General features: G+C 51.2%; 1 protein-coding gene across 5 annotated transcripts in view, besides 6 other annotated features; it reads right to left on the bottom strand.

Annotated features, from left to right (window-relative positions):
* ADORA1 (adenosine A1 receptor) overlaps positions 86–25,287 on the bottom strand; it is a 39,680-nt gene continuing 14,478 nt past the window's right edge. For 4 of the 5 annotated variants that reach the window (NM_000674.3, XM_047446499.1, NM_001365066.1 and 1 more), the window contains one exon: positions 86–2,230. In NM_000674.3, the coding sequence (NP_000665.1) occupies positions 1,591–2,230 (640 nt within the window). In that variant the 3' untranslated portion in view covers positions 86–1,590. Of the gene's footprint in view, positions 2,436–25,287 lie in introns of all 5 variants that reach the window. The other variant, NM_001365065.1, reaches the window with a different exon arrangement.
* Positions 293–803: an enhancer, noted in NCBI's record as "H3K27ac-H3K4me1 hESC enhancer chr1:203135816-203136326 (GRCh37/hg19 assembly coordinates)". NCBI's record gives its function as "activates a minimal SCP1, AML or CMV promoter by ChIP-STARR-seq in naive H9 embryonic stem cells {active_cell/tissue: H9 hESC(naive)}" and the evidence as "EXISTENCE:reporter gene assay evidence [ECO:0000049][PMID:30033119]".
* Positions 804–1,314: an enhancer, noted in NCBI's record as "H3K27ac-H3K4me1 hESC enhancer chr1:203135305-203135815 (GRCh37/hg19 assembly coordinates)". NCBI's record gives its function as "activates a minimal SCP1, AML or CMV promoter by ChIP-STARR-seq in naive H9 embryonic stem cells {active_cell/tissue: H9 hESC(naive)}" and the evidence as "EXISTENCE:reporter gene assay evidence [ECO:0000049][PMID:30033119]".
* Positions 827–916: a silencer, noted in NCBI's record as "silent region_1716". NCBI's record gives its function as "represses an Ori minimal core promoter by ATAC-STARR-seq in GM12878 lymphoblastoid cells {active_cell/tissue: GM12878}" and the evidence as "EXISTENCE:reporter gene assay evidence [ECO:0000049][PMID:35858748]".
* Positions 1,642–1,821: a silencer, noted in NCBI's record as "fragment chr1:203134798-203134977 (GRCh37/hg19 assembly coordinates)". NCBI's record gives its function as "represses an EF-1alpha promoter that drives an FKBP-Casp9 reporter gene in an ReSE screen in K562 erythroleukemia cells {active_cell/tissue: K562}" and the evidence as "EXISTENCE:reporter gene assay evidence [ECO:0000049][PMID:32094911]".
* Positions 21,392–22,073: an enhancer, noted in NCBI's record as "H3K4me1 hESC enhancer chr1:203114546-203115227 (GRCh37/hg19 assembly coordinates)". NCBI's record gives its function as "activates a minimal SCP1, AML or CMV promoter by ChIP-STARR-seq in primed H9 embryonic stem cells {active_cell/tissue: H9 hESC(primed)}" and the evidence as "EXISTENCE:reporter gene assay evidence [ECO:0000049][PMID:30033119]".
* Positions 23,547–24,047: an enhancer, noted in NCBI's record as "H3K4me1 hESC enhancer chr1:203112572-203113072 (GRCh37/hg19 assembly coordinates)". NCBI's record gives its function as "activates a minimal SCP1, AML or CMV promoter by ChIP-STARR-seq in naive H9 embryonic stem cells {active_cell/tissue: H9 hESC(naive)}" and the evidence as "EXISTENCE:reporter gene assay evidence [ECO:0000049][PMID:30033119]".

Genomic DNA, 25,287 nt, shown 5'->3' with positions numbered 1-25,287 from the left:
GCCCCCGTCATTGCTTCCTGTCTGCTGAAGCTGTCTTATTGCCCTCAACAGTGGTGGGGATGGGCGCCCAGCAATGTGCTCTCCACAGGGTTCACAGTTTTTTATTAGTCACATGGGCCTCCCTTGGGAGCCAGGGCACACCCAATTTCCAACAGAGGGAAGGGCTTGGAAGCAAGTCCTGGAGTTGACACTCATGTTCAGAAGGTCAACTCGACGGCCACCTCCCCTCCCTCGCCCCCCGACACAGGGGCTCCAGGATCCCCCGCCTCGCCCTCCCACACAGGGGCTCCAGGCTCCCCCGCCTCGCCCTCCCACACAGGGGCTCCAGGCTCCCCCACCTTGCCCCCCAACACAGGGGCTCCAGGCTTGGCAGGGCATGGGTTGGTCCTTCCCCAGATCCCTAAAGTCCTAGACCCCCGGACACCTGCAACAGAGCTTCCAAAGCCCCTGAAAACCCAGCCAGATACTAGGGGTATTGAGGGATTCACATGACAGCAAGGCCTTCCCCCACATGCTCTCAGGGGGGTACTCTCCTCTGCCTGCTGCAGCCTGCTAAACCCACCCCAGGGGCGCCTACAGTCAACACTGAGTCCTTACAGACACTCCCTCGTCCACCCCGTTCCCAGGCAGGCAGAATGCTCCCGAGTTGGCATGTCTAGTGTTCTCCTCTCCATCAGGCCCAGAAGCAGCAGAGATGGGGTCACCTAGGACAGTCCAGGCCCGGCAACGGGCAGGCCAGTGGAGCTGGTGGCCCAGATGACAGGTAATTACACTCCAAGGCTCCTCCCCGGAAAGCTCAGGGCAAGAAGGAGGGCTCAGAGCTACCACCTCGTGGCTGTTTGAGGCCAGCACCTACCGCACCAAGCTCACTCCCCAGGGCGTGGAGCCAGCACTCCAGCAAATATCAGAAATGATTACTGAACCTACCCTTTCTGCCTCTCCCACGTACAATCCTGGGCTGGCCCAGGGCAAGGAGAGCAGGCACCCTAGCACCTGGTATGGCCTGGGGTCCAGAGTCCTCAGAGGTGGGAACGGAGGCTCCTTGATTCCTGCCCCTTAGCTGCCTCTGGCCAGTCTCTCCTACAGAACAGGCCAGTGCATCCTCAACCTCTCTCCTTCCATCCGTCTCAGAGCAGATGCTCTCCTCTCCTTAAGCTTGGTCCTGGGGCTGCACCACCAACATCTAAGACAAGCAGACTCCCCTGCCTCACCGCAGAAGCCCAAGCACCTTCTCCCAGCCCAGGTGGCTCCTCTGCAGTCTCAGCCTCCCCAGGACCTGCCCAGCCCTGAAGCTCTGGACTGCTCATGGGATGGTCAGGCAGGTGGGGGCTCAGAACACTGTTGCCTCTAGACACCTGGTCCCTCCGTAGGACCCTTGCCCTCCCAGGCCTCCTGCAGGGCCCAGAGGTGTAGGGTAGTTAACTCCTAGTGGAGGGACCACACTCTGTGGGTATCTCTTCAGAGCCTCCCCCATGCCCCCAGCCAACAGCCCAGCTGGGGCAGGCTCAGGGAGACCCCTGGGACAGCGGGCATGTGAGGACTGGACTGAGACCCCACTGGATGTGGGCTGGTGGGAGCGGAAGGCGGGGTCTAGTCATCAGGCCTCTCTTCTGGGAGATCCTCGTCAATGGGAGGTGCAGGCTGGCAGCGGAAATGGTCATTCCAAATCTTAAGGAAGGTGACGCGGAACTTCTGGATGCGGAAGGCATAGACAATGGGGTTCATGGCCGAGTTGCCGTGCGTGAGGAAGATGGCAATGTAGGTAAGGATGCTGGGCTTGTGGCAGGACGGGCAGAAGAGGGTGATGCAGTTGAGGATGTGCAAAGGCAGCCAGCTGAGGGCAAAGAGGAAGAGGATGAGGGCCAGCGACTTGGCGATCTTCAGCTCCTTCCCATAGTACTTCTGCGGGTCGCCGGAGGAGGCCGACACCTTCTTGTTGAGCTGCTTGCGGATTAGGTAGAAGACCTCCAGGTAGATGAGGACCATGAGGAGAAGCGGGGGCAGCACCCACACAAAGAAGTTGAAGTAGACCATGTACTCCATGCTGATGACCTTCTCGAACTCGCACTTGATCACGGGCTCCCCCATGCTGCCGTTGGCTGCCCAGGCCCGCTCCACCGCACTCAGATTGTTCCAGCCAAACATAGGGGTCAGTCCCACCACGAAGGAGAGGATCCAGCAGCCGGCTATGGCCACCGCCGCCCTCCGGGGGGTCACCACCATCTTGTACCTGGGGGAGAGGAGGGCAGAGTGTGAGGATCTGCCTCCCAGCTGCCTCGAAAGGCCCCTCTGAGGCACGCCTGGCCTCCAGGGGCCTCTAAGAGGAGCACCCTCCTCTTCCAGGGCCCGGTGAGTGGGGAGGTGCATGTCTTTTGCTCGAGGGCTGAGTCTTCAGGATCTAAGATTTAGTGCTTGCCATGCATTGGCTTATTCTCCTACAGAGAGAGGAAATCCTGATTAATGACAAAAATAATAATAGAAAATCACAGAGGAGCTCCTTTATGAATTTCAAGGAAATGACCACAGTAAAAATTGCTCCCATGTGCTCAGCATGCCCCCACTGGTTATCTCATCATTGCTTCATGACAGCCTTTGTCGCGTAGGAAGTCACCGGCAGAATGAGGACTGCCCAATTGGCAGATGAGGAAACTGAGGTTCAAAGTAATCACAGGATCTGCCCAAGGCCACATGGAAGGTGGCAGTGCTGTTCCGTGCTTCCTAAAACACGTCTACACTGACCGAAACACCCAAGTGATTAACAAACCATCCCTTCTCTTGGGCCAGCAGACACAACTGTCATTTTAAAAAATCTTTCACACAACCCCCCTTCCCTTGGCCTTGTCCCATACTCCCCTGCCATGCCCCATCTCCCACCTCCATATGAACCTCCTGTTTCCCCTTCCAATCACTGTGCAGCACTTACCTCCTAAGGGCTTGATCTCAAGAACCAGCTCTGCACTCCCAAGCTAACTGGGAATGATGCTCAGGAAAGAAAACTGATATTCACTGAGCATCTACTACATGCTAGATACTTTCAGTCATTCATTCATGCATTTACGCATGCATACGTGGATGCATTCATTCAGCAAGCATTTGTCGAGTGCTTTCTGTGCTAGGCATTGCTCCCTGTGCTGAGAATAAGATAAAAGATCCCTGCTTCTACATATCTCACATTTTGGGTGAAGAGACAGATAACACAAAAGCAAGAAAATAAACAAGACAACTATAGATCATGATATGTCCTTTAAAGGAAATAGGTTGAGTCAAGGGCCAGAGCTTTCTAACTTTTTTCAGGTCATGACCCACAAAGAAGATAGAAACATCTGGATGACGAGGCTGCTCGTGAGCCACAAGGGTTGGGCGTTTTCATATCTCAGGGGTTCCTACTTCCCTTTAAACCAATCTAGCCAGCAGCCATCATGGCTTCTGCCCACATACTGGCCTTGGAGACAGTGCCAAGGGCTGGGTCTCACCCAGCTCTGTGCTGAGAAGCCAGCTGAGCAGCAGCAGCTTGCCCAGTTGTTATTTTCCAATGCGGCTTCTGAAATGGATGGAGTGCCCTCCTGAGCATGTAAATAGCTCCTGAGACCCAGGAGTGTGAAGGGAGAGGCTGCCGACTGTTTCCTTCCGCCCCAGGGATGCAGAATCTGCGGCTTTCTCCTGCATGGTGATGATGCTTAAAGTCTGTCTCGCCCCGGACAACGCTTCTCCTAGATCCTTCACCATCCATCAAAGCCCACCTGCTCTGTGAAGGCTATAGGGGTAGGAAGGGAGACAATTTGCCCAGTGGGAGGAACCAGATGCCCCTCTCCACCCCATCTAGAAGATAAGGACTAGAAGAGACCTTTGGAATCTCATTTTCTATCCCTTCATTGTCCCAGTGAAGAAATTGAGGACTAGATGACTCCAACACCTTTGGAGCAGTTCCCCTCTCCTACTCTGTGATCATAGGATTCTTGTGCCCCAAACCACCACCACCAAGGGGCCTTGAGAGGTGACCAGTGCACTTGTGCCTCTGAAGTTTTCTTAGATACAATCCTCACTCTCTTGCTGAAATTGAAGCCCATTCCCTCCTCTGTACCCTCAGCAGAATGGCCAGGCCTGGTGCAGACACTGGGAGTGAGAAGACCCAAACTCGGGCTGCCAGTCTGCAACTTGCTAGATCAATGTCTCCTCTGTAAAAGAGACCTACTTCAGAGGGGGAGGATCAAATGAGATACTACGTGTGCAAGTACTCTGTAAACATCCGACCAGTATTCCTTTGCCTGAGCTCTTCTTACCCCTCCAAGCTCCCAGACAAATGGCCACCTGGAAAACTCCAGTATCTCTGGATGCTCAGCAAACACAGCCTAAGGGCTATTTAAACATCTTGCTCACATCTTGTTCCTGACCATCTCAATGTGTTCCCCACAGATATGGTGTCCTCTCAGATATGGTGGAAAAAGTTCTGGGCATGAGTCTACGGGCAAAGACCAAAGGAACATAGGTCATTCTGAAGGCTGAGGGATGCTGTCTCAGCAGCCACACAGCGGAGAGTGGGGCCAGATCCCCAGGTGAACCTCAGCAGGGAAAGCGAGCTGCCACTGCAGAGAGGACGGGGCCAGGTGTCCTGCCTACCCCCACCACCCATCACATCTGCCATTTATACCACATTTATCATTTACAAATCCCTTTCTCAGTCCTGTCTCAGGTAATCCTCATAACTGCTGCTGTGGTGAGCACAGCAGATAAGGGAATCCCCATTTCATAAATTAGAAGCTCCACTGGCCTGGGTCTCCTGACTCCAAGCCCAGCTCTTCTTCAGGGTGCCAGGCTGACTGTGGGTTGTTGAGATGCAGATGATTGGCAGGTTGAAAATATCCCTTGCCTAAGAGATTTAAAAGGGGAACTTCAAGACTCTGCCCAAGGAAGGCACCACCCAGAGTCAGTGGGGTGGGGTAGGTGACCTCTGGTGCTGCCGTCCAGCCTATGGATTGGGGGATCTAGCCTGGGACTGACATCAGGGCAGTGATGACCTATGGAGAGAGGAGAGGTAGACAGTGATAGCCCTAGACAGGAGAGAGGGAGGAGACTTCTAGCTACAGAAGTGGGTCCCTCCCCTCTTCTCTCCTCACCCCTCACCCTTCTGACCACCCAGAGCCCCCGGGGTTAAAGCTTTCCTGGGGCTCCTCCAGGACCCAGTCCCAGCAGACCCTGCAGCTTAGGGTATCAGCTCTCATCTGTTTTTCTTGCTATTTTCTCCCTGGTGGGAAAGGGCTGGACCCAAGACCTTGGCTGAGGTGGGGCAGGCTCTCACAGGAAGGGCTGCCTCCCAAGGCCAGGAGAGAAGCTCACCTATCCTTACACGTGGGAAAGGAAACAGAGGCTGCAAGTCCTGGGGCACGCATGGGGTAAGGGTGTGTGGAAGGTGCCTCTGACTCTTGGGAATGCCCCTCCCAAGTCCACAGCATCCCCGAGGGCTGTGCTGGGAGCTAAGCAGGGAGATGCTGCTCTCAGGAGTGTGCAGCTCAGGCAGGCACAAATGGGAGAGCAACAGAACAGAGACGGGAGAACACCAAGAGGGGCCCCGTCCACAGGCCAGCAGGGCAGACAGTACCTTAAAGATAGCCCTGAGGGGGCCGGGCGCGGTGGCTTACGCCTGTAATCCTGGCACTTTGGCAGGCCGAGGCGGGTGGATCACCTGAGGTCGGGAGTTCAAGACCAGCCTGGCCAACATGGTGAAACCCCATCTCTACTAAAAAAAAATACAAAATTAGTCAGGCGTGGTGGTGCATGCTTGTAATCCCAGCTACTTGGGAGGCTGAGGTAGGAGAATTGCTTGAACCCAGGAGGCGGAGGTTGTGGTGAGCCAAGATCGCGCCATTGCACACCAGCCTAGGCAACAAGAGCGAAAATCTGTCTCAAAAAAAAAAAAAAAATAGCCCTGAGGGAACCAGGGAGAGCCCCACCTCCAGAATCTCCTTCAAAGTGCATAAAATCCCACAAGGAATGAGACGTTCCTTTGGGTTAAGAGTTGCCTTCTCTGTGGGCTATTTATTTATTTAGTTTATTGAGACAGGGGCCCCCCTGTGTTGTCCAGGCTGGTCTCGAGCACCTGTGCTCAAGCAATTCTCCCACTTCGACCTCCTGAAGTTCTGGAATTACAGGTATGAGCCACCACGCCCACCTGTGTGTTATTTTTAAAAGCTGAAATAACATGAACTCCATAGTATGAATTAGTTTATTAGTCGGAACTTCTCATTGATGATGATAACATGAAAAGACTGAGTCCCCGGAGCAATGGGCTACAGAGACCCTGAGAGGGAAAGGGATCACTTGAGGAGAGAAATGGAAGAGGGTTCCCATTGAACCTCTCAGTGTTGGCAAGAGCCGGTGGCTGAACAGAAAAGGATTTCATATCATAGCTGCTGCAAGAGTGTCAGTATGGTTTAGAGGTGGAAATGAGGGAATGAAGTCTGCAAATCCTGTGTCCAAATAGGGCAGGGCAGAGAAAGCCATTGGTTCTTCCCTGGACACCCTGGCAGGGCTGCCATAGGAGGGGTGGGAGATTCTGGGGGCTAAGTGAGGAAGGAGCTTGAAAATAATAGTTATCTGATCAATAATAACAACAATAAAAATGCTGGTAAGCGCTAACATTTATTTCTATGTGCTGGGCACTGACTATTTATTTATTTATTTAAGAGATAGGCTCTCACTCTGTCTCCTAGGCTGGAGTGCAGTGGCACAATCACAGTTAACTGTGACCTCGAACTCCTGGGCTCAAGAGATCCTTCCACCTCAGCCTCCTGAGTAGCTGGGACAAGTGTGTGCCACCATGCCCAGCTATTTTTAAGTGTTTTTGTAGAGATGGGGGTCTCACTATGTTGACCAGGCTGATCTCAAACTCCAGGGCTCAAGTGATCCTCCTGCTTTGGCCTCCCAAAGTGCTGGGATTACAGGCGTGCACCACTGCGCCCAGCCCTAGGCACTGACTTTATAGACATGGTTTTATTGATACTTCAGCGCAACCCTATCACTTAGATACTACAGGTTGAGCATCCCTAATGTGAAAATCCAAAAGCCCAAATGCTCCAAAATTCAACACTACTTGAATGCCAACAAGACGCTCAAAGAAAAATGTTCATTTGAGCATTTCAGATTTCCAGATTAGGGATGCTCAACCAGCGGGTATAATGCAAATATTCCAAAATCTGAAAAAATCCAAAATTGGAAACACTTCTGGTCCCACACATTTTGGATAAGGGATACTCAACCTGTGTCATTATTCTCAATTCCTAATTGCAGTAACTGAGACTTGGAGAGATTAGAAAACATGTCCAAGGCCACTCTGCCAGGAAAAAGCAGGAAAAGAATTTCTAAGACTCCAGTATGTCCAAGTGCAAAGCCCATATTGGACCCAGCTCTGCCACTCTGGGAGATGGAGAACACGTGAGGATTGGGGGATGGAAGCTTGGAGCAGGAGAAAGGAGCCATGGCTAGGGCCCAGAAGGCAAGCCTCTCCTGCTCCAGGCAAATCTCCCTGGACTAAGTAGTTGTGAGGATGCCATTGTGCTTTGCCTGGGAGCCTCACTCCTCCTGCAAAGTCTGAGCTCTTTCTGAGCCATCAGAATGACCTGTTCACATGCATGTGCTGCCTAGGTATTTAGTTGCTGTCTTGTTCTTGCTGGGGGCAATCAGGCAGTTGAGACTCACCCTTTCATTTATTAAAGGGGTATTCATTGAGCACCTATCAGGTGCCAGGTTCTAGGTGTTAGGGTTCAGGAATATAGAAGAGAACAGACTCATGAAAATATCATTCTGCAGACAGAGAAACAGGCAATAGATATGCAAACAAATAAACCAGATCATTTTAGAGAGTGAAAAGACCTACCAAGCGAAATAAGAGGATACCCCAGGAGAGAGTGAGTGGGCAGGGCAGCCTCTCTGAGGATGAGAAAATGAGCCGAGAGCCAAAGGACCACCAACGAGCCAGCCAGGGAAAGATCTGGGACAGAGCCTTCTAGGCAGAAGGCACCATCGGGGAGAGGTGCTGAGGCAAGAGTGGCAAGAGAGGGCTAGTGTGAAGGAGCCTCAGGGGTGAAGGCCCGAGAGAGGCCGGCTCAGTCAGAGAAGAGACCTAGGGCTGAGAGGGCTGCAGCAAGTGTTCTGGGGTTTATCCTAAGTACGAGGGGAAGTCATTTTAAGCAAAGGAATAATATAATCGAATTGCTGTTTTTAAAAGATAGCTCAGGCTGCTGTGTGGAGAATGTGTTGCAGCAGGGAATGATGGAAGGCAAGAAAACCAGCAGGAGGCTATTTTAGCCATCCAGGCAGATGAGGGTGGGATGCTGTAGCTGGCGGCATGGGAATTGAGGAGAAGCATATGGCTTTGAGATGTATTTAGGAACAGGGCCAAAAGGACCTGCTGCTGAGTTTGGATGTTGCTATGGTTTGAATGTGTCCCCCAAAGCTCATGTGTTGGAAACTTAATCCCCAATGCAACAATGTTGAAAGGTGGGACTTTAAGAGGTAATTAGATCCTGAGAGCTCTGCCCTCTTGAATGGATTAATGCCATTAATTGCAGAAGTGGCTTCATTATCACAGGAGTGGAGTCTTTATAAAAGATGAGTTTGGCCACCTTCTTTTCTCTCTCTAGGGAGTGTGCTCTTTGTCCTTCCACCCTTCAGCCATAGGATGAGCCAGAAAAAAAGGCCCTTGTCAGATGCAGACCCTCAATCTTGGACTTCTCAGCTTCCAGAAATGTGAGCTGAGTAAACTTCTTTTCTTTATAAATTACCCAGTTTCAGGCATTCTGTTATAGCAGCACAAAATGGACTAAGACAGAAGATTGGTACCAGAAGTGGGGTTGTTGCTCTAACAAATACCTGAAAATGTGGAAGCAGCTTTAGAACTGGGTAACAGGTATAGGCTGGAAGAGTTTGGAGGAGCAGGCTAAAAAATGCCCAGACTGCCATAAATGGAGCATTAAGGGTAATTCTGGTGAAAGCTCAGAAGACAAGAGCTGTAAGGAGCAACTGAATCTTTTAAGGGATGATTTGAATGGTCGTGATCACAATGCTAGCAGAAAATTTGGACAGTAAAGAATTTTGGATGAGGTCTCAGATGGAAACAAGAAACAAGATATTGAAAACTGGAGTAAAGGTCATCCTTGTTATATAGTTGTAAAGAACTTGGTGGAATTGTGTCTGTGTCCCAGGACTTTGTGGAAGGCAGAACTTTAGAGCAACTAACTGGGATATCTAGCAGAAGAAATATACAAACAACAAAACATTCAAGGTGCTATATGGTTTCTTTTTGCCATTTATAGCAAAGTGAAGGAAGACAGAGATGATTTAAAGATGAAACTTATCATCGAAAGGGAAGCAGAATGGAAAGATTTGGAAAACTCTCAGCCTGGCCATGTACAGAATTAAAAAGTGTGTTCAGGAGAGAATACTAAGGATGTGGCCAAAACACCATTTGCTAAAGAGAATAATATGGATAGAAGGAAGCCAGGTTCTATTCATCAGGATGATGGGAGAATGACTACACAGGTATTTCAGAGATCTTCAAGGCAGCTGAGGACCTTTAGAGCAAGGTTTCCAGAGACACCAGGCAGGACCTCGGCATTTGCTGCCCAGGGCCACCTCAGGCCTCTGCTGCCCAGGGCCACCTCAGGACTCTGCTCCTTGGCAGCCCCAGCCATGGCTCAAGCAGGCCCAGATGTAGCTTGTGCTGCTGCTCCAGAGAGCACAAGTGGTAGGTAGGTCTTGGCAGTGTCCACATGGTGCTGATTCTGCAGGTGCACAGAGTGTGGAAGCCATGGGGTCATGCCAGCCTCCAATTAGATTTCAAAGGATATCATGGACAGCCTGGAAGCCCAGGCAGAAACTTGTCACAGGGACAGAGCCACCACAGAGATCCCTCACCAGGGCAATGCCTCCTGGAGCCATGGGAGTGAGGCCACTGCCCAGACACCAGCACTGTAGGACCACCAGCATGCAACTCCAGTATGGGAGAGCTGCAGGCATGAGACTCCAATCCACGAGAGCTGCTTCATGGGCTGAGCCCAGTAGAGCCAATATGTCCAGGAGGTGGTACATGGAGTAAAAGGCTATTCTAGAATCTTAAGATTTAATGTTGTCTGGCTTGTTGGGGTTTGGACTTACTTGGATCCTGTTACTGCTTTCTTCTTGCCTGTTTCTCCCCTTTGGAATGGGGAACCTATCCTATTCCTGTCCCACCATTGTATTTTGGAAGCATGTAACTTGTTTTGATTTCATAGGCTCACAACCAGAAGGAAATTTGCCTTAGGATGAATCCTGCCTTTAGCCTCACCCATATCTGATTTAGATGAGACTCTGGACTTAGGACTTTTGAGTTGATGCTGGAACTAGTTAAGACTTTGGGGCCTACTGGGATGGAATAAATGTATTTTGCATGCGAGAAGGACATGAATTTTGAAGGCCAGGGCAGAATGCCATGGTTTGAATGTGTCCCTCAAAGCTCATATATTGGAAACAATCCCCATTGCAACAGTGTAGAGAGGTGGGACCTTTAAGAGGTAATTAGGTCATGAGGCTCTGCCCATATGAATAGATTAATGCCAATACTGCAGGATTAGTTTTGTTACCACAGAAGTGGGGTCCTTCTGAAGGATGAGTTCAGCTCCTGTCTGTGTGATGCCTTCCACATGGTATGAGGCAGCAACAAGGTCCTTATCAGACATGGCCCTCTAATCTTAGACTTCCCAGCCTCCAGAACTGTGAGCCAAATAAATTTCTGTTCATTATGAATTACCTAGTCTGTGCTATTCTATTATAGCAGCAGAAAATGAAGTAAGACAGATGTCCAGGTGAGAGAAAGAGTCAACAAGATGACTCTGTCTGGTTTTTATCCTGACCACTGAGCAGAGGGCACTGTCATTCCCCCAGTCTCCTTGACCCTTCTTTCCCTGAAGGGCCCATCCCCTTACCTTAAACTCCACTTCACTCTCCCTGAACTCCACTCTACTATCACCATGCTAGTGGACACTCCTTTGTTTACATACCTGGGGCACTCTCCTACCTCAGGGGCTTTGCACTTCCTGTTCATTTCCTGAAATGTCTGGGAAGGTTCATTCTCCGTTCATTCAGGTCTCCACTCAGATGTCAGGTCCTAAGGGAAGATTCCTGACTCTCCTGAAAAATAGTCTCTATCACTGTCTCCTCTTGCCATATTTAATTTTCCTGATAGCATTTCCTGACTCTCTCCCTCCTCCCTCTCTCTCACACCCTCTCTTCCCCCCTATCTAACTATCTATCTATCTATACATTTATTATTAGTTTCTCTCCAGTGCTCCAGTAGAATGTAAGCCCCAGTAGGACAGAACCTTTGGCATGTTAACCACTGCATCCCCAGTACCTATATCAGTGCTCAATAACTATTTGTTGAATGAATGAATAAATACATGTAAAAATGGATTAATGAAACCATACATCCACTTATTCAGAAATGATTGCTCAAGGACCTGCAACGTGAGTACATCTCAGGGAACAAGAGATAAGGATTAAATGGTAGGTGCTCAATTAGAGACAGTCAGATTAGAAAGGCATGACCCTAGCCCTGAAGGCAATTACAATGCCCTGGATGAGGAAAATCATTCCCTGGTTTATTCCCTGCTGTGCTGGGAGCTGTAGGGGATCCACTGCTGAATCAGACAACTCCTGGTCCCCTACCTAGGTCCTGCGACATAAGGCCGCTATGACAAGGGCCTCTTATGAAATGTATGAGAAACTGCCACCAGGCCACCAGCCAGCCACCAACATGTCCATAGTGGCTTGGAGTCCCAGCATTGCCCTGCACACTGTGAGACCAGCAGAGGCTTCCCTGGCCAGAACTCACCTCCCCAGAGTCTCTTAGCCTGCATCCCAGAAAAGCAAGCCTTCATCTCATGCTAATTCCCAGCAGTCGTCATGAGAATGCCCAAGTTCCTCATTGGTCCTTTGCCTCATGAATCGTCCTTTTCAGGGATGAGATCACTTCTAGTTGGAGACCCGACTGTGCACAGAGGGGTGGCCTCTCCTTGTCTACACCCTTAGAGGGCACTCCTTCTGGATGCCATTGGGGACTGATAGTTAGGTTGACTCAGAGAACATAAACGATAAGCCACTTTAGAAAAGGAAGAGCTGTCTGGGCACGGTGGCTCATGCCTGTAATCCCAGCACTTTGGGAGACCAAGGCAGGTGGATCACTTGAGGTCAGGAGTTCGAGACCACCCTGGCCAACATGGTGAAACCCCATCTCTACTAAAAATACAAAAACTGGCTGGGTGTGATGGCGGGTACCTATAGTCCCAGCTACTCAGGAGGCTGAGGCAGGAGAATCGCTTGAACCTGGGAGGTGGAGGTTGCAGTGAGCCATGCCACTGAACTCCAGCCTGGGTGACAGAGCGAGACTCCGTCTCAAAATAACAATAATAATAATAATAATAATAATAATAATAATAATAATAAATAGGAAGAGCCCAGATGCCATCAGATGGTGAACACACCATGGGACCAACCAGCGAAGACACATCTGACAGAGAAAAAAGAAGGAAGAGGGGGTGGGCATAGACGTCCTACATAATTCTCTTTGGTGAATGCAGAACAGCCAAACTGAGAAAGGTGCAAAGAAGCCAGCCACCACTGCAGGGATGAGACTGGAGTGTGCTGGTTCTGAAGCTGTCTGTCCTTGGCTTTCTCTCCTGGCCCTGCCCTGTTTTGTATCACCATGGGGCTGACCCCGGCAGGCTGCATTTCCCAAGCCCTGGGGCTATCCAGGTCCATGGGAAATACTGCAGTGCTGGAGCAGTGGGGATGGGGCGGTGGTGGGGAGCTGTCTACCTCCCTGTCCCAGCTGTGTACTAGGCAGTGGTTATGACTCCTCCATGGCTCCAACACACACCAGACAAGCCCACCATGGGTGCGGCTTCTACCAGCCAACTGCAGCCCCTGGGCTCCGGGATCACCGCCTCCTCACTTTGTCCTTCTGCCTTGGGGTAGCTTCCTGTTGTTACTCATCTCTGGGTTACTTCACTCTCCCTGTTTGTGTCTCGGCTGCTTCATCACCAATTCCTGGTATAAGGCCCTCGGCTGTAAACACCTAAAATGATTTTTGTGTTCCTGGTTAGACTCAGACAGTTCAAGAGTAAAGCTGCATCAGGAAGAACTGAGCTCAGTCATCCCTAAGAACCCCCTGCCAGAGGTATAGGTACGAGTGAGCCACCCAACTCTTACAAACGCCTTCACTCAGAGGCAAGAGAACCCACATGTGGGTTTGGAAAATGCTAAGCATGGCTTGCCTGAGGGCAGGATGACACAGTGTCCTGTCAACTGCTGAGACCAGAGCAGGGTCCTCAGGCCTGGCCGTCCCTGTTTCTCATCACCTGCTCCTCATGGAAGCACTGGACATGGGAGCAGGGAGGTGGAGGGCCGGGGGGTGGCAGAGGTCCACGTCTTTCCACCATCCTGCGGTTTGGATAGTCAGGGATTGAATCTTCCCTCTTCCGTTCCCTCACTCTTGGCTGGGAGGGAGTGACAGTTCATAGCTCTGGTCCCCTCCTTCCCGCCTCCTCTCTTATCAAGGATCTCAGCCACTTGTAACTGGAAACTTGGATCTCAAGAGCAGGAAAGTAAGGCTTTCAGACTATTAAACTACTTCCTGTGGAGAAATTCTTCCTCCCCAAGGAGAACAGGAAACCAGATATAATCAAAGGTGCTGGGCACACTCCAGGGGCCAAATATTTAACAGTAACATTGCCCAGGGGAGTCTGCTTCAGGGGCCCTGGGGAGGGGGCAGGATGTCAGGCCTAAGAATCCTGCCTTGAATCCCGCTGTGAGGGGCTCTGTGGCATCACTCACCATCTAAAACATCAGTGCCCACCAATCCCCAAAAGGAGACTCGGGCTGACACCCCAGGGCCAGTCTGCAGGGCTACAGGGAGGAGGGCAGACACTCTGTGTCTTGAAAGAAAAGAGCTGGATAAATTGATTAGGTCATTAGTGTAATGGGCCTTGGAAATCACTCCTGGTCACTTGCTGAGGACAAATAACTCCACAGCCTGGTGGGGAAAATAATGAGGTTCCTGTGTGTGACTCAGTAACACCCTCTATTCTGGCAACCTCCCCAACTGTCTGTCCTTCGGATTCAAGGCCCCTTTCTGAGCGCTGGACGTGAGCAGAATAAACATAGATCCCACCATGAAGGAACTCTCAGTCCACAGGAGAGGCCCAGCACCTGAGCAAAGGGATCCCCAGTGTGATGAGAGCGGCATGTGCTGCAAAGCACAGGGCAGAGCTCCCTGCCAGCTCCCCCACTCAAAGGTTTCATGCATGACTGACAGCACAAGCTCCCCCCAGACCTGTGTGCCTGCAGAGAGCTCTTTTCTCTCTCTCTCTGGGTGGGCGTTCTCATCCCAACAAACAGAAGTTTGGATTTGCTCAGTGGTTCTGATCCGGAGGGGGCTTCAGAGGGTGGGGTGCAAAGTGGGAGGCTTTCAGATTTGGAGGAGGCATGTTTTCAAAGTATATTTGCCTCTGAACCTCATCCCTTTCTCCCAGTCCAGGGCATATCCTATGGAATGTTTTTCCACAGCCAGAAGGCCAAGGTATCACACTTTGAGACAATGCCCTGGGCGATTTCACAATACAGCCACCTCCTCCCCTCCCAAAGTCAAGCACAGCACCCACATCCCCGTGAGGCGGTGGTCCTCAAGGAGGAGGGTGTCTGACCTGGACAGTAAATGCAGGAAAACTGGACCCAGACCTTGGCATTCTCAGCTCTTTCTGCACTGAGATTTGATTCTCTCCATCTCTCCAAGGAAGACCGGGATGGCAAAAGGAGCAAGGCCAATTAGCCCCACCTGCTATGGGTGACTGTTTCTGACTCATCCCGTGGGACAGGAAAAAACCATCCCATCTGCATTCAGACTTAATGACCTGTGAGTAGCTGCTGCAGGGAGGCCTCACTGGGATGGCCAGGGTGCTAAAAGGGGCAAAATTCCTTTTCCAGTGAAGTGGAAAGGTCCGCCATGGTGGGAAGGGAGCTGATGGCTTTATGCGGCTTCCCATAGGCCTCTCTGGTCTTTGCAGACTGTGGCCTCTTAGGAGAACAGCAGAGAATCCGCCAGCCCAGCTGGCACATGGGGAGGGCCCAGGCAGGAGGGAGCCAGGAAGCAGCAGAATTCTGCAGGCTCAGGAGAGCAGAGGGGGCCCATGCTGGACCCCCAAAGAAGGGCAGTCCTCCCTTGGAATACCTCATTGTGGTGGGAAATGGGAGACCCCCATTCTGGTCCAGGCTGTGCCAGGAGTGAGCTGGCCTTCGGGGAGACCCTTTCCCTTTTGGGGCCTCTGTGTCCTTGTCTGGATGATGAGGGATTGAATGAGATCTTTTCTGGGCTCTAGCAGGTCACGGTTCCCTTCTTCTGGAATGTGTCAAATCATCTTCTATAGAGAGCTGAGCTCAGCGCTAGCAGAAAGGAGGGAGGGGCACTGAACACGGAACTCCTTGTGGGGAGGAGGAGCCCAGGGGCAGTGGTGAGGGGCACCCATACATCCCCGGAAGGGAGTCCCTTCTGAAAGGATTCCATGCTGTAGCTCTGTGCCCCATGGAGAGGAAGATGGGGGGCAAGATGGAATGTAAAGAGAAATAAATATTTATTGAGTATAAGAATGAATGAATGAATGAATGAATGAATGAATGCATGCATGCATGAAGTGTGCTGTGGGGTAAGATCCGAGTTCAAACTGTGACTCCACCATTAACAGCTTGTGGCCTGGAGCAAGTAACAATTCCTTGAGCCTTGGTTTTGTCCTGGGCACAATGGGAGGAGAAGGTTGGCTTGGCAGGCCCCCTGTGAGGATGAGGCTGGCGCAGTAACTTATCTGGGCACTCAATGAACAGTAGCACCAGGTGCCCATTGCTATCTCCACCAGGAGCACACCCCTGATTCTACTGGAATACACAATCGACCCTTGAAGAGATACAAAACAGGTTGCAAGGACATAGATAAACAAAAAATTACTTCTGTTTCACTTTGGAAGGCCAGTCACATGGTTTCCATATCTATTTCACAGCCAGCTCTCCTACCTAATTCAACCTTCGTACAGAACGGGTCTGTGTTCCCTGATCTATCTGATGAAAGTGTCTGAGTCTGGGGTGGGGGTTTGGGAACCTGCTCAGCCCAGCACTAAACCCTACACAGGGTCCTGGAGAAGTCACGCTCCCTGGAGAACCCCAGTAAAGCTCCACTGGGGAAGTGGCCAGGGAGGATACTGGAGATATGGGAGGCGGACTCAGGGTGAGCCCACGCCTTTCCTCCCACCTCCCTTCAGAGTATCTCTTGGCTTGCCTGGAACCCTGAACGCTTGCAGGGTACAGGGCATCTGCCTGAAGGCCTGTTTCCACCAAGGAACTGTAAATCCGACCCCCACTGGAGAGATCCCATGCAGACTCGAGATCAGCCCAAAGGCACCCGCTGGGGTTGGGACCTAGAAAGCAGGTTGGATGCCTGCTGACAGTCTGGAGTGACAAGAGGAGGTGCCTCTTGAGCCAGGGAGATTGGGATGCTGTGCTCTGAGGAGGCAGCTGCTGTCACTGAGCTTGGGCTGTCAGGGCCCCCTAAAGCTCACAGCACCTAGCCCCCTGCCCTGGAAAAGATTCAACAGACAGCAGATAGGGGGAGGACAGAGAAGACAGGAAGAGCTCACCACCTTGGAAATCTTTCCAAAGAAAGAGTCCACCCCCACACTCAGCTCCGCATTCCACAGCTTGTGCTTCCACATTAGAAAGTCCTTCCCAGAGTCTAACTTCAGTTCTTCCTGCTGCATCAGAACTCAAGAAGACACCACTTTTGGGACCTGGAAGAAGTACAGTCATATTCTCCCCGATCCTGGCCTTTCTCCCCACCTTGCAACCAGGCAAAGGGGTGTAGAGCCCAAATAACAGCAGGAAGGACCCCAGGACCCAGCAGTTTTCCATTGACCCTCCTGGTATCTCCTGATGCTCTCTTTGCCCTGTGTCCCTCCACATAAGCACTCACCAAGCCCACAGTGTACAGAGTCCCTACAGAAGCCACAGGCCAGGCCCAATCCGGGAACCAGTCCTCCCCAGCCAGCAGCCACCCAGGCCAGGGCAGAGCACACAGAAGAGTTTAGCATCAGCTGCAGCCCTCCTGCTCCACTGCATGTGCTCAGGGGCTTCTGCCCCAGCTCCAGGGATGGCTTTGTGGAGGAGGGGCCCAGACATACAGATGCAGTGGGAGGTGGGGAGCACCCAGGCTCACCCAGTGGGTGCAGGTGAGCCAGAGATCCCCCTCCCCAGAACAACATGCAGCAGGAAGTGGGAATGTGAGGTCTCCTAGATCATCTGGTGGCTGGCTCCCTTCCCTTCCCTTCCCCATGTGGGATAATCAGAAAAATTCTTTATTTTTCTCTCAGAGCACATAACTGCAAGTACCTGAAGGGCGAAGACGAAGTCTGGTTCAAAATCATCTTCCTAGCACCTACCACAGTACCTGGCACACAGTAAGCACTCAATAATATTTGGGGAAGGAAATGAAATCATATAAAATGCTCGATTAAAACCAGAGAGGCAGAAAAAGAGAAGCAAAAAAAAAAGAAAACAAATATAATGACTAGAAAACAGTTATAAACATGGCAGAGATTAAGCCAACTATTGCAATAATCACCTTAAATGTGAAGAAAGTAGGAGAAACTGGTAAGAGGAAGCCATTCTGAGCCTTCTTGCTCATCTCAACAACAACATCCCCCCTGGCAGGCAGCAGAGCTCTGCTCCCAACAGTCACAGCTGAGGGGCCTTCTACAGAATGCTCAGGGTCTCCACTCGAAGGTCCCGCCTCAACCACTCAGCCCCGATATCTCAAGCCACTTAATTAGGTGGTTCTCACAGGAGTCTAACACACTTCCTCCAACTGCAAGACCAGCCCCTCTCCTCAACTCCCGGCCTGGGTGGAGGTGGGGAACAGCCTGTCCTCCTCCTCCTCTGGGAGCTGGTCTGTGCCCCTGTCATTTGCACGGGTAAAACAGAGCAGCATGTTAGCTGCTGGCAGTATCCCAGGCCAGGAGCCTGCCAGGCAGCTTCTCTGAGGGTTGATCAATAAACTCAATTTCCGTCATTTCTTCCACTTCTGCAAAGTCCTATAAATCACTCCGCTCTGCCACAACCCTGGATGGGGGAAACTCATGATGTGTGTGGGGGAGGAAGAAGCTTATCAAATCAAAGCCTTTTTTTTCCATCCACCATTCATGGAAACTTCCAGGTGCTGTGCTCAGAGCTGGAAAAAGAAAATGCAGGCCTGGTACAGTAGCTCACGCCTGTAATCTCAGCACTTTGGGAGGCTGAGGAGGGTGGACCACCTGAGGTCAAGAGTTCGCGACCAGCCTGGGTAACATGGTGAAACCCTGTCTCTACTAAAAATACAAATATTAGCCAGTCTTGGTGGCATGCACCTGTAGTCCCAGCTACTCAGGAGGCTGAGGCAGGAGAATCGCTTGAACCCGGGCGGCGGAGGTTGCAGTGAGCCGAAATCATGCCATTGCACTCCAGCTGGGGCAACGGAGCAAAAACTCCGTCTAAAAAAAAAAAATGCAGAGAGACAGTAGTAACGGGCCTTGGGGAACGCCACCAGGCAAGAATCGGGTAGGACATGCACTGCAGCCAGGGGAGGGGCGGACACATGAGCAGTGGCACAGAGGGCACGTGGGGGAACAGGCATAGAGTGGCTTCCTTCACCCAGTTGATAGAAACACTGACAGTCTGGGACATTTGGAAGGTCCAACCCCAGGGCCTCCAACTTCCAATTCCACAAACGCCTGACCAACCACACTGCTCTCTCCCCTCCCAACCTCCTCAGCTGGTGCCCACTGTCTCCAATAGAGCACACTGGCTGGCTAGGGGGGCCAAGGCTCAGGGTGACAAAACACTGTGACAGGCAAAACACTGTGACAGCATTAGAGGACCTGGATTGGGATCAGACTCAGACCTGCTGTTAGCGAATCACATCACCTCTCAGAACATTAGGTTCCTCATCCATAAGATGGAGCCGATTGCTCCGCCCGTGATGTTGGAGCTACCATTTAGCATTGAGCTTTCACATACAGCCCTCCTCTGCTCTTCATCCTAGGAGGAAGGGATCCATCTCCACAGGTGAGACTGGGCAACTTGCCCAAGGTCATACAGCTAGTGGCCAGAATTGTCATTGCAACCTAGGCCAGCTGCCTCCAAAGCATGTATTTGTGTTGTTTGTTTTTTGAGACAGGGTCTCATTGTCACCCAGGCTTGAGTGCAGTGGTGCGGGATCTCAGCTCACAGCAACCTCTGCCACCCCAGTTCAAGTGATTCTCCTGCCTCAGCCTCCCGAGTAGCTGGGACTACAGGCGCCCGCCACCACGCCTGGCTAATTTTTGTATTTTTAGTAGAGACGGGGTTTCATCATGTTGGCCAGGCTGGTCTTAGACTCCTGACCTCAAATGATCCGCCTCCCTCGGCCTCCCAAAGTGCTGGGATTATAGGCATGAGCTACCATGCCTTTTGTTTGCTTATTTCATGGAATTTTATTTCTTTTTACTGAAAAACATTAATTGTATATATTTATGGGGTACAACGTAATGTTTCAAAACATTTATACATTGTGGAGTGAGCAAATCCAGCTTTCTAAATTACTATAAGAGTAGATTTTAAAGTCAATTTTGTATTTCATGCACTGCCATTCCCATGAGGCTGTGAAGAAACTGAGGACAGGGACTGTGGTTTTATATTCCCCAGTATCCTTCATTGTCTGAGCTTCTCAAACTGTAATGTGCATATGAATCGTCTGGGGTCCTTTTAAAATGCAGATGATGAGTCAGACAATCTGGGCTGGGGACTGAGACTCTGCATTTCTAACAAGCTCCCAGGAGATGCCAAGGCTGCTGGTCCCTGACCACGCTTTGAGTAGCAAGGCCCAGTGGCACTCGGCCCAATATCGGGCACAAAAGGAGCTCTCTCCAACCTTGTTTGGGGAAGAGAGTGATTGAGGAAGCCCAGAAAAAGAAAGGCATTGTTTTGGATCATGAAGGAAATAGGAACACAAATCCCTGCAGGGTCCGTCACAGATTCACCAGAGTGACCAGTTTCTCTTAATGGATAGCCACCTCCCCCGATACGAGGAAAAAAAAGGCCAGGAACCAGGATGGGAGAAGAGAGGGCAAAGAGGCTCCCTGCCTCAGCAAAATGATAGCAGTCCATCACAACACCCCTGGCAGAGCACTTCCAAACCAACGAAACCAACGATCCTACCCAATGCACACCCCAGCTTGTGAGCGAAGAAGAGCAGGTTCTGTGGTTGCCACTTTACAGGTGGGAAAATTGAGGTCCAGGAAGGTTCAGTGCCTGCCTACGGCTACAACTTGGATGGTTAGTGTTTAAGCTGAGACTGAACCCAGTCTCCTCTGCCTCTGGGCCTGGTGCTCTTTGCGTGAAGCACTCTACCTATGGAATGGTGGCAGAGAGGGTCTCCCTGGGCCCTTCATCATGCCTCACTCCTGGGGCCTACTGGGCTGCTTCTCCAGCCCATCTCCACCATTCTCACCTCTGTGGACCATGTGGGATTACTTCTGCTGCCATGATGCTAGCAACACCTCCTGAGGTAGCTCCCCTGCACTTGTGATTGAGGCAGCAGACTCAGGCCGAGAGAAAGCCGGCAGGACCGACAGGAACCCAGGCAGCAGGCCAGACCGGGCCTGGCTCGTGCCCACAGCACTCTCCATCTCAGAAATCTCAGACCTCTTAGCTTGGCCAGTGCTGATTTCTCTGTTATCTGCAAGATCTTGTATTCTCTCTCTTTCTCTTTTTTTTTTTTTTTTGAGACAGGCTTTCATTCTGTCACCCAGCCTGGAATGCAGTGGCACTCATGGCCCACCGTAGCCTCAACCTCCCAGGCTCAGGCGATCCTCCTGCCTCACTTTCTCAAGTAGCTGGGACCACAGGATCACACCACCACATCTGGCTAATTTTTAAAATTATTTTTAGAGACAGGGACTCCCTATGTTGCCCAAGTGGTCTCAAACTCCTGGGTTCAGGCAATCCTCCCACCTTGGCCTCCGAAAGTATTGGGATTACAGGCATGAGCCACCATGCCTGGCCAAGATCTTATATTCTGTCTTGCCCTCAGCCTAGAAACTCCCTGAAGACAGTGGCGAAGGGAAGTAAAGTGAAGTTGATACCAGCCTTGCAAGACTAAATAAAATTAAATCTGCTACCAAAGAAGTCACGCAGTGCCACCCCTGACATTGAGGAGATGCCCAACATGTAGGCCCCTCCCCCACCCCTGACACTGAGGAGATGCCCAACATGTAGGCACCCCTCCCCCACCAGACTGCAAGTCTTCCTTCCTTGAGAACTTCTAGTGCCAGGCAGCCCCTGGGCTCCCAGAGGAGCTGGAAGGAGGAAGGGAGGTGCCCATCCGACATTTCAGAGGCAGATGCCCCGGGCACCATACCCAGAGCAGTGGCAGAACACACTCTGACCTGAGTGCAGGGCTTTATACACCTCCCTGCCCTGCCACAGCCGCTTCCCCAAGGCCGGGTTTGCCAAATTCAGGCCTTGGCAGGCTTGTAAAGGAACTCCTCAGGCCACACTGTCCACCCCAACCGCAACAGAGACAGACAGACACACCCGCCACTATCCATCCATCCCCCTCCCTCCCACCAAACAGCAGGAAAAGAGGAATGAGCCCCTGAAACTGGAGAGAGATGGTGGCTACACATTGGTTCTCCCCACAGTCCTGTGAGGCATATAATACTAGTTCCACTTCACCGAGGTAGAAGCCCAGGCTCAGAGAGAACAGCCTCGGGCACACAGCAAGCAGGTGGCAGAGCTGGGACTGGGAGACTGGCTCAGCCAGCCAGACTCCAAAGCCCAAGCTGTGTTGTGTCCCTCCAGGCTGCATTCAGGATTCTGTGCCTCTCAGCGCCCCTTCCCTTCTGTCAGCCCCTGCACACACCACTCACCGGATCCTTACAGGCGGCCGGACCTGCCTCAGCAACCCTGAGAAGTCAGGCTGAGCTGCCATTCCCATTTACTAACAAGGGTGCAGGTCAGCGGGGAAGGTGGCCTCCAAGTGGGCACCATGGCAGCCCAGGCCCAGAGTTCAGGCATCCTGTTTCCCAGCCCCAAGTCTCCCCTGTGCTGGGCAGATTGGGGGATCACTTCACTCCACCTGGACTCAACACTCACTTTTCTCGTCCCCTGGCCAGTCTCTTCTTAACCTCTCTAGGCCTTGGAGTTGTGGAGAATGATAAAAGAAAGGGATTTGACATCAAAGCCACCTCTTATACACATTGGTTTATAAGTCTGGTGGGGGGTGAGGGGCTCTCCTGTCCTTTATTCTCCTCCTTTGAACATTTTTTCTTCCAGCCTTGACTGGACTGAATTCAAACTCCTGGGCACATAAGGTAGGGAGCCATGCCTTGGGGATGGCTGGGAGGGAACCCACAGCAGTTGAATTGCACACTGGCACTGGGCTTGAACCCGTTGAGGATGAGGTGGCTCTGGGGCCTCTGCACAGGAGGTGAGTGTGAGTCGGTGTCTCTCCCACAGCTGAAGTCTGCACAGACAGGGAGGGGACATTCTCCAGGCCCTACTCTTCCTGTCAGGGCACCCCCTCCACAGGCACACTCAGAGCCAACTCGCCCCTGAACAATGAAGCCATTCTCCCTCCTGTTCCAAGAGCACTGCCTCACAGACAGCTCCGCAGTGGGGATTGGAATGGCGCCCATCCTATAAACTGAGACCCGCAGAGGTAAGTGATTTCCTCAAGGTCACCCAGCAGCAAGCACTGGAGTCAAGGCTCAAGTACAGATCTTTTCATTCATGCATTCAATTATTCATTCAACAATTCTGGCTATACTTAGCTGTGTGGCTGTTACCTAGTAGTTTAATTTCTCTGAGCCTCGGCTCCCTCATGTGGAAAATGGGGATATATTATTTAATTTATTAGTATAAAATACTATTAGGACCTCTTCATAAAATTGCACAAGGATTTCAGCAAGATAATCCACATAAAGTATTTAGCACAGGGCCTAGCAATCCTAAGCACACAAGCGTCACTACTATTACCATTCATTCAGTGATTCATTAACACTGAAACAGCAGAAACTATCCACCACTGTGGATATAGAGATGAATAGGCTTGGACCCCACTTTCAAATTGCTCACACGCCAGTGCAATTTGATAAGGGTTATATTAAAGGGGAACACAGGGAGCTGTGGGAACATGCAGGCAAAACAAGGAAGGCTTCCTGGGGGAGGTGTCATCTGAGCTGAGTGTTACAGACTAAGTAGAAATTAGACAAGAGAAAGGAACAGCTGTGTGTGTGTGTGTGTGTGTGTGTGTGTGTGTGTGTGTGTAAGAGGTAGTCTTGATGTTAAATCCCTTTCTTTTATCATTTTCCGTAACTCCTAGACAGGTTAAGAAGAGACTGACCGGGAGACAAGGAAAGTGAGTGTTGAGTACAGGTGGAAGGAGGTATGGCGCTGCGCTTCCAAGCCGGGGAGGTGGCCTCGTGCTGTGTGCCTGGGTGTGGGCCAGGCCTGCTCAGGCCTCCTGCCACCGTGGCCGTTGGAAACGTGTCTGTCTCCACACTGACTGTGGATCTATGCCCTTGAGGACAGACTTATGCCGTCAGAAAACACTTGTTGACTTGAACATGTGAACTTCGTTCTACATCAAGAAGGATGAATGGGTGGGGCACAAACAGGAAACAGATTAGTTTGGCTCAGACTTTTGTCTGGACCATGGAGAATGAGGGACTGGGGGCAGGGGCTGCATGGAATTGAGCAAGCAGAACTGAAGGAAAGGTCTGGAAGCCAAGAATATTATTTTTTGACTTACAAATAAAGATTAAAAAGCTATAACCCCCTGCACACACAAACACACACACACACACACAGGTGTGCATATGTGAATACACACACCCCACTAAGAACCTGAAGCCACTGTGGTGGTGGGTGGGGGGAGGGGGCTTCATGCCTTCACACCTGACTGTGTCACCCAAATTTCATGTGTTGAAAACTTAATCCCCAAATTCTTATGCTGATGGCATTTGGAGGTGGGGTCTTTGGGAGGTAATTAGGGTTAGATAAGGTCATCAAGGTAGGGGTCCCCCCAGTGGAACTGGTGGCTTTATAAGAAGAGGACAAGAGATCTGAGCTGGCATGTTCTTGCCCTCTCACCATGTGATGCCCTCCACTGTGACGCAGCAAGGAGGCCCTCATCAGACCCCAGCACTGTGCTCTTGGACTTCCCAGCCTCCAGAACCATGAGCCAAATAAACTTTCTTTCTTTGTAAACCACTCAGTCTGTAGTATTCTGTTACAGCAACAGAAAACAGACTAAGACAACACCCCTCATTCTAAGTTGTTATTAGCCCCTGGGACCTGACACAGCCACTCTGAATGTTGTTTGCATCATTGTCATCCAGGCCACTCTATCAGCTCTCCCAGTTATGGCCCCAGGGGACCGTAATGGTGAGTGGGGGTGTTGTGTTTACAGAGAACAGGGCATTGCGGCAGGTGTGTGTGCTGGGCACAGCCTGCTGAGTCCCCAAACACACTGAACGGTTTTCTCCCTAGAGTCAATTTACAGAGCTGCCAGGCCCCAGGGGAGCCCTCACTTCAGCTCCCTCAGAGCCAGCTCCCCACCAGGAGCTGCACAGGACAAGGCCTCCAGGAGACGGGGGGATCAGGAGGAACTATTCACACCCTGGAAGCAGAGTCATGTCAACACTCTTCCCCACATACAAACAGGCAGCATGGGGACAGCAGGGAGCCAAGGTGAGAGTCAGGAGACCAGGATACTCACACCCTAACTTGCTGTACAAGCTCCGGTGATCCCATTCACCCCTCTGTGCACCCCACCCTCTAAACTCTTAGGGATGTTTTAATTAAATAACTTTTCCTTCTCCATTACCTGCCTTTGTCTTCTGTAGGCGAATATAAAATATCCAAATGACATCTTCCCAACCTGGCTTACTCAGTCTTCCCCACTAAGGTGTCCTTCCTCCATTGGAGCATTCCCTCATTTCTTCACTCCACAGACATTGATTAAGCCACCTACTAAGTGCCAGTCAGACACGTGTTAGGTGTTGGTTACGATGGGCAGGAGAGTTGACAGTACCACGCCCTGCCCTCATAGTGCAAGCAAATCATTTTGCCACTGACCGGAACCCACAGGGATCACAGTGGTCACATAACATCAAGTGGTAAATAAAAAACAAACTTTGGATT

This window comes from Homo sapiens, chromosome 1 (genome assembly GCF_000001405.40).
Source record: "Homo sapiens chromosome 1, GRCh38.p14 Primary Assembly".
NCBI classification, from domain to species: Eukaryota; Metazoa; Chordata; class Mammalia; order Primates; family Hominidae; genus Homo; species Homo sapiens.
The sequence above is the reverse complement of the archived record's forward strand: the minus strand, read 5'-3'. Positions and strand labels throughout refer to the sequence as shown.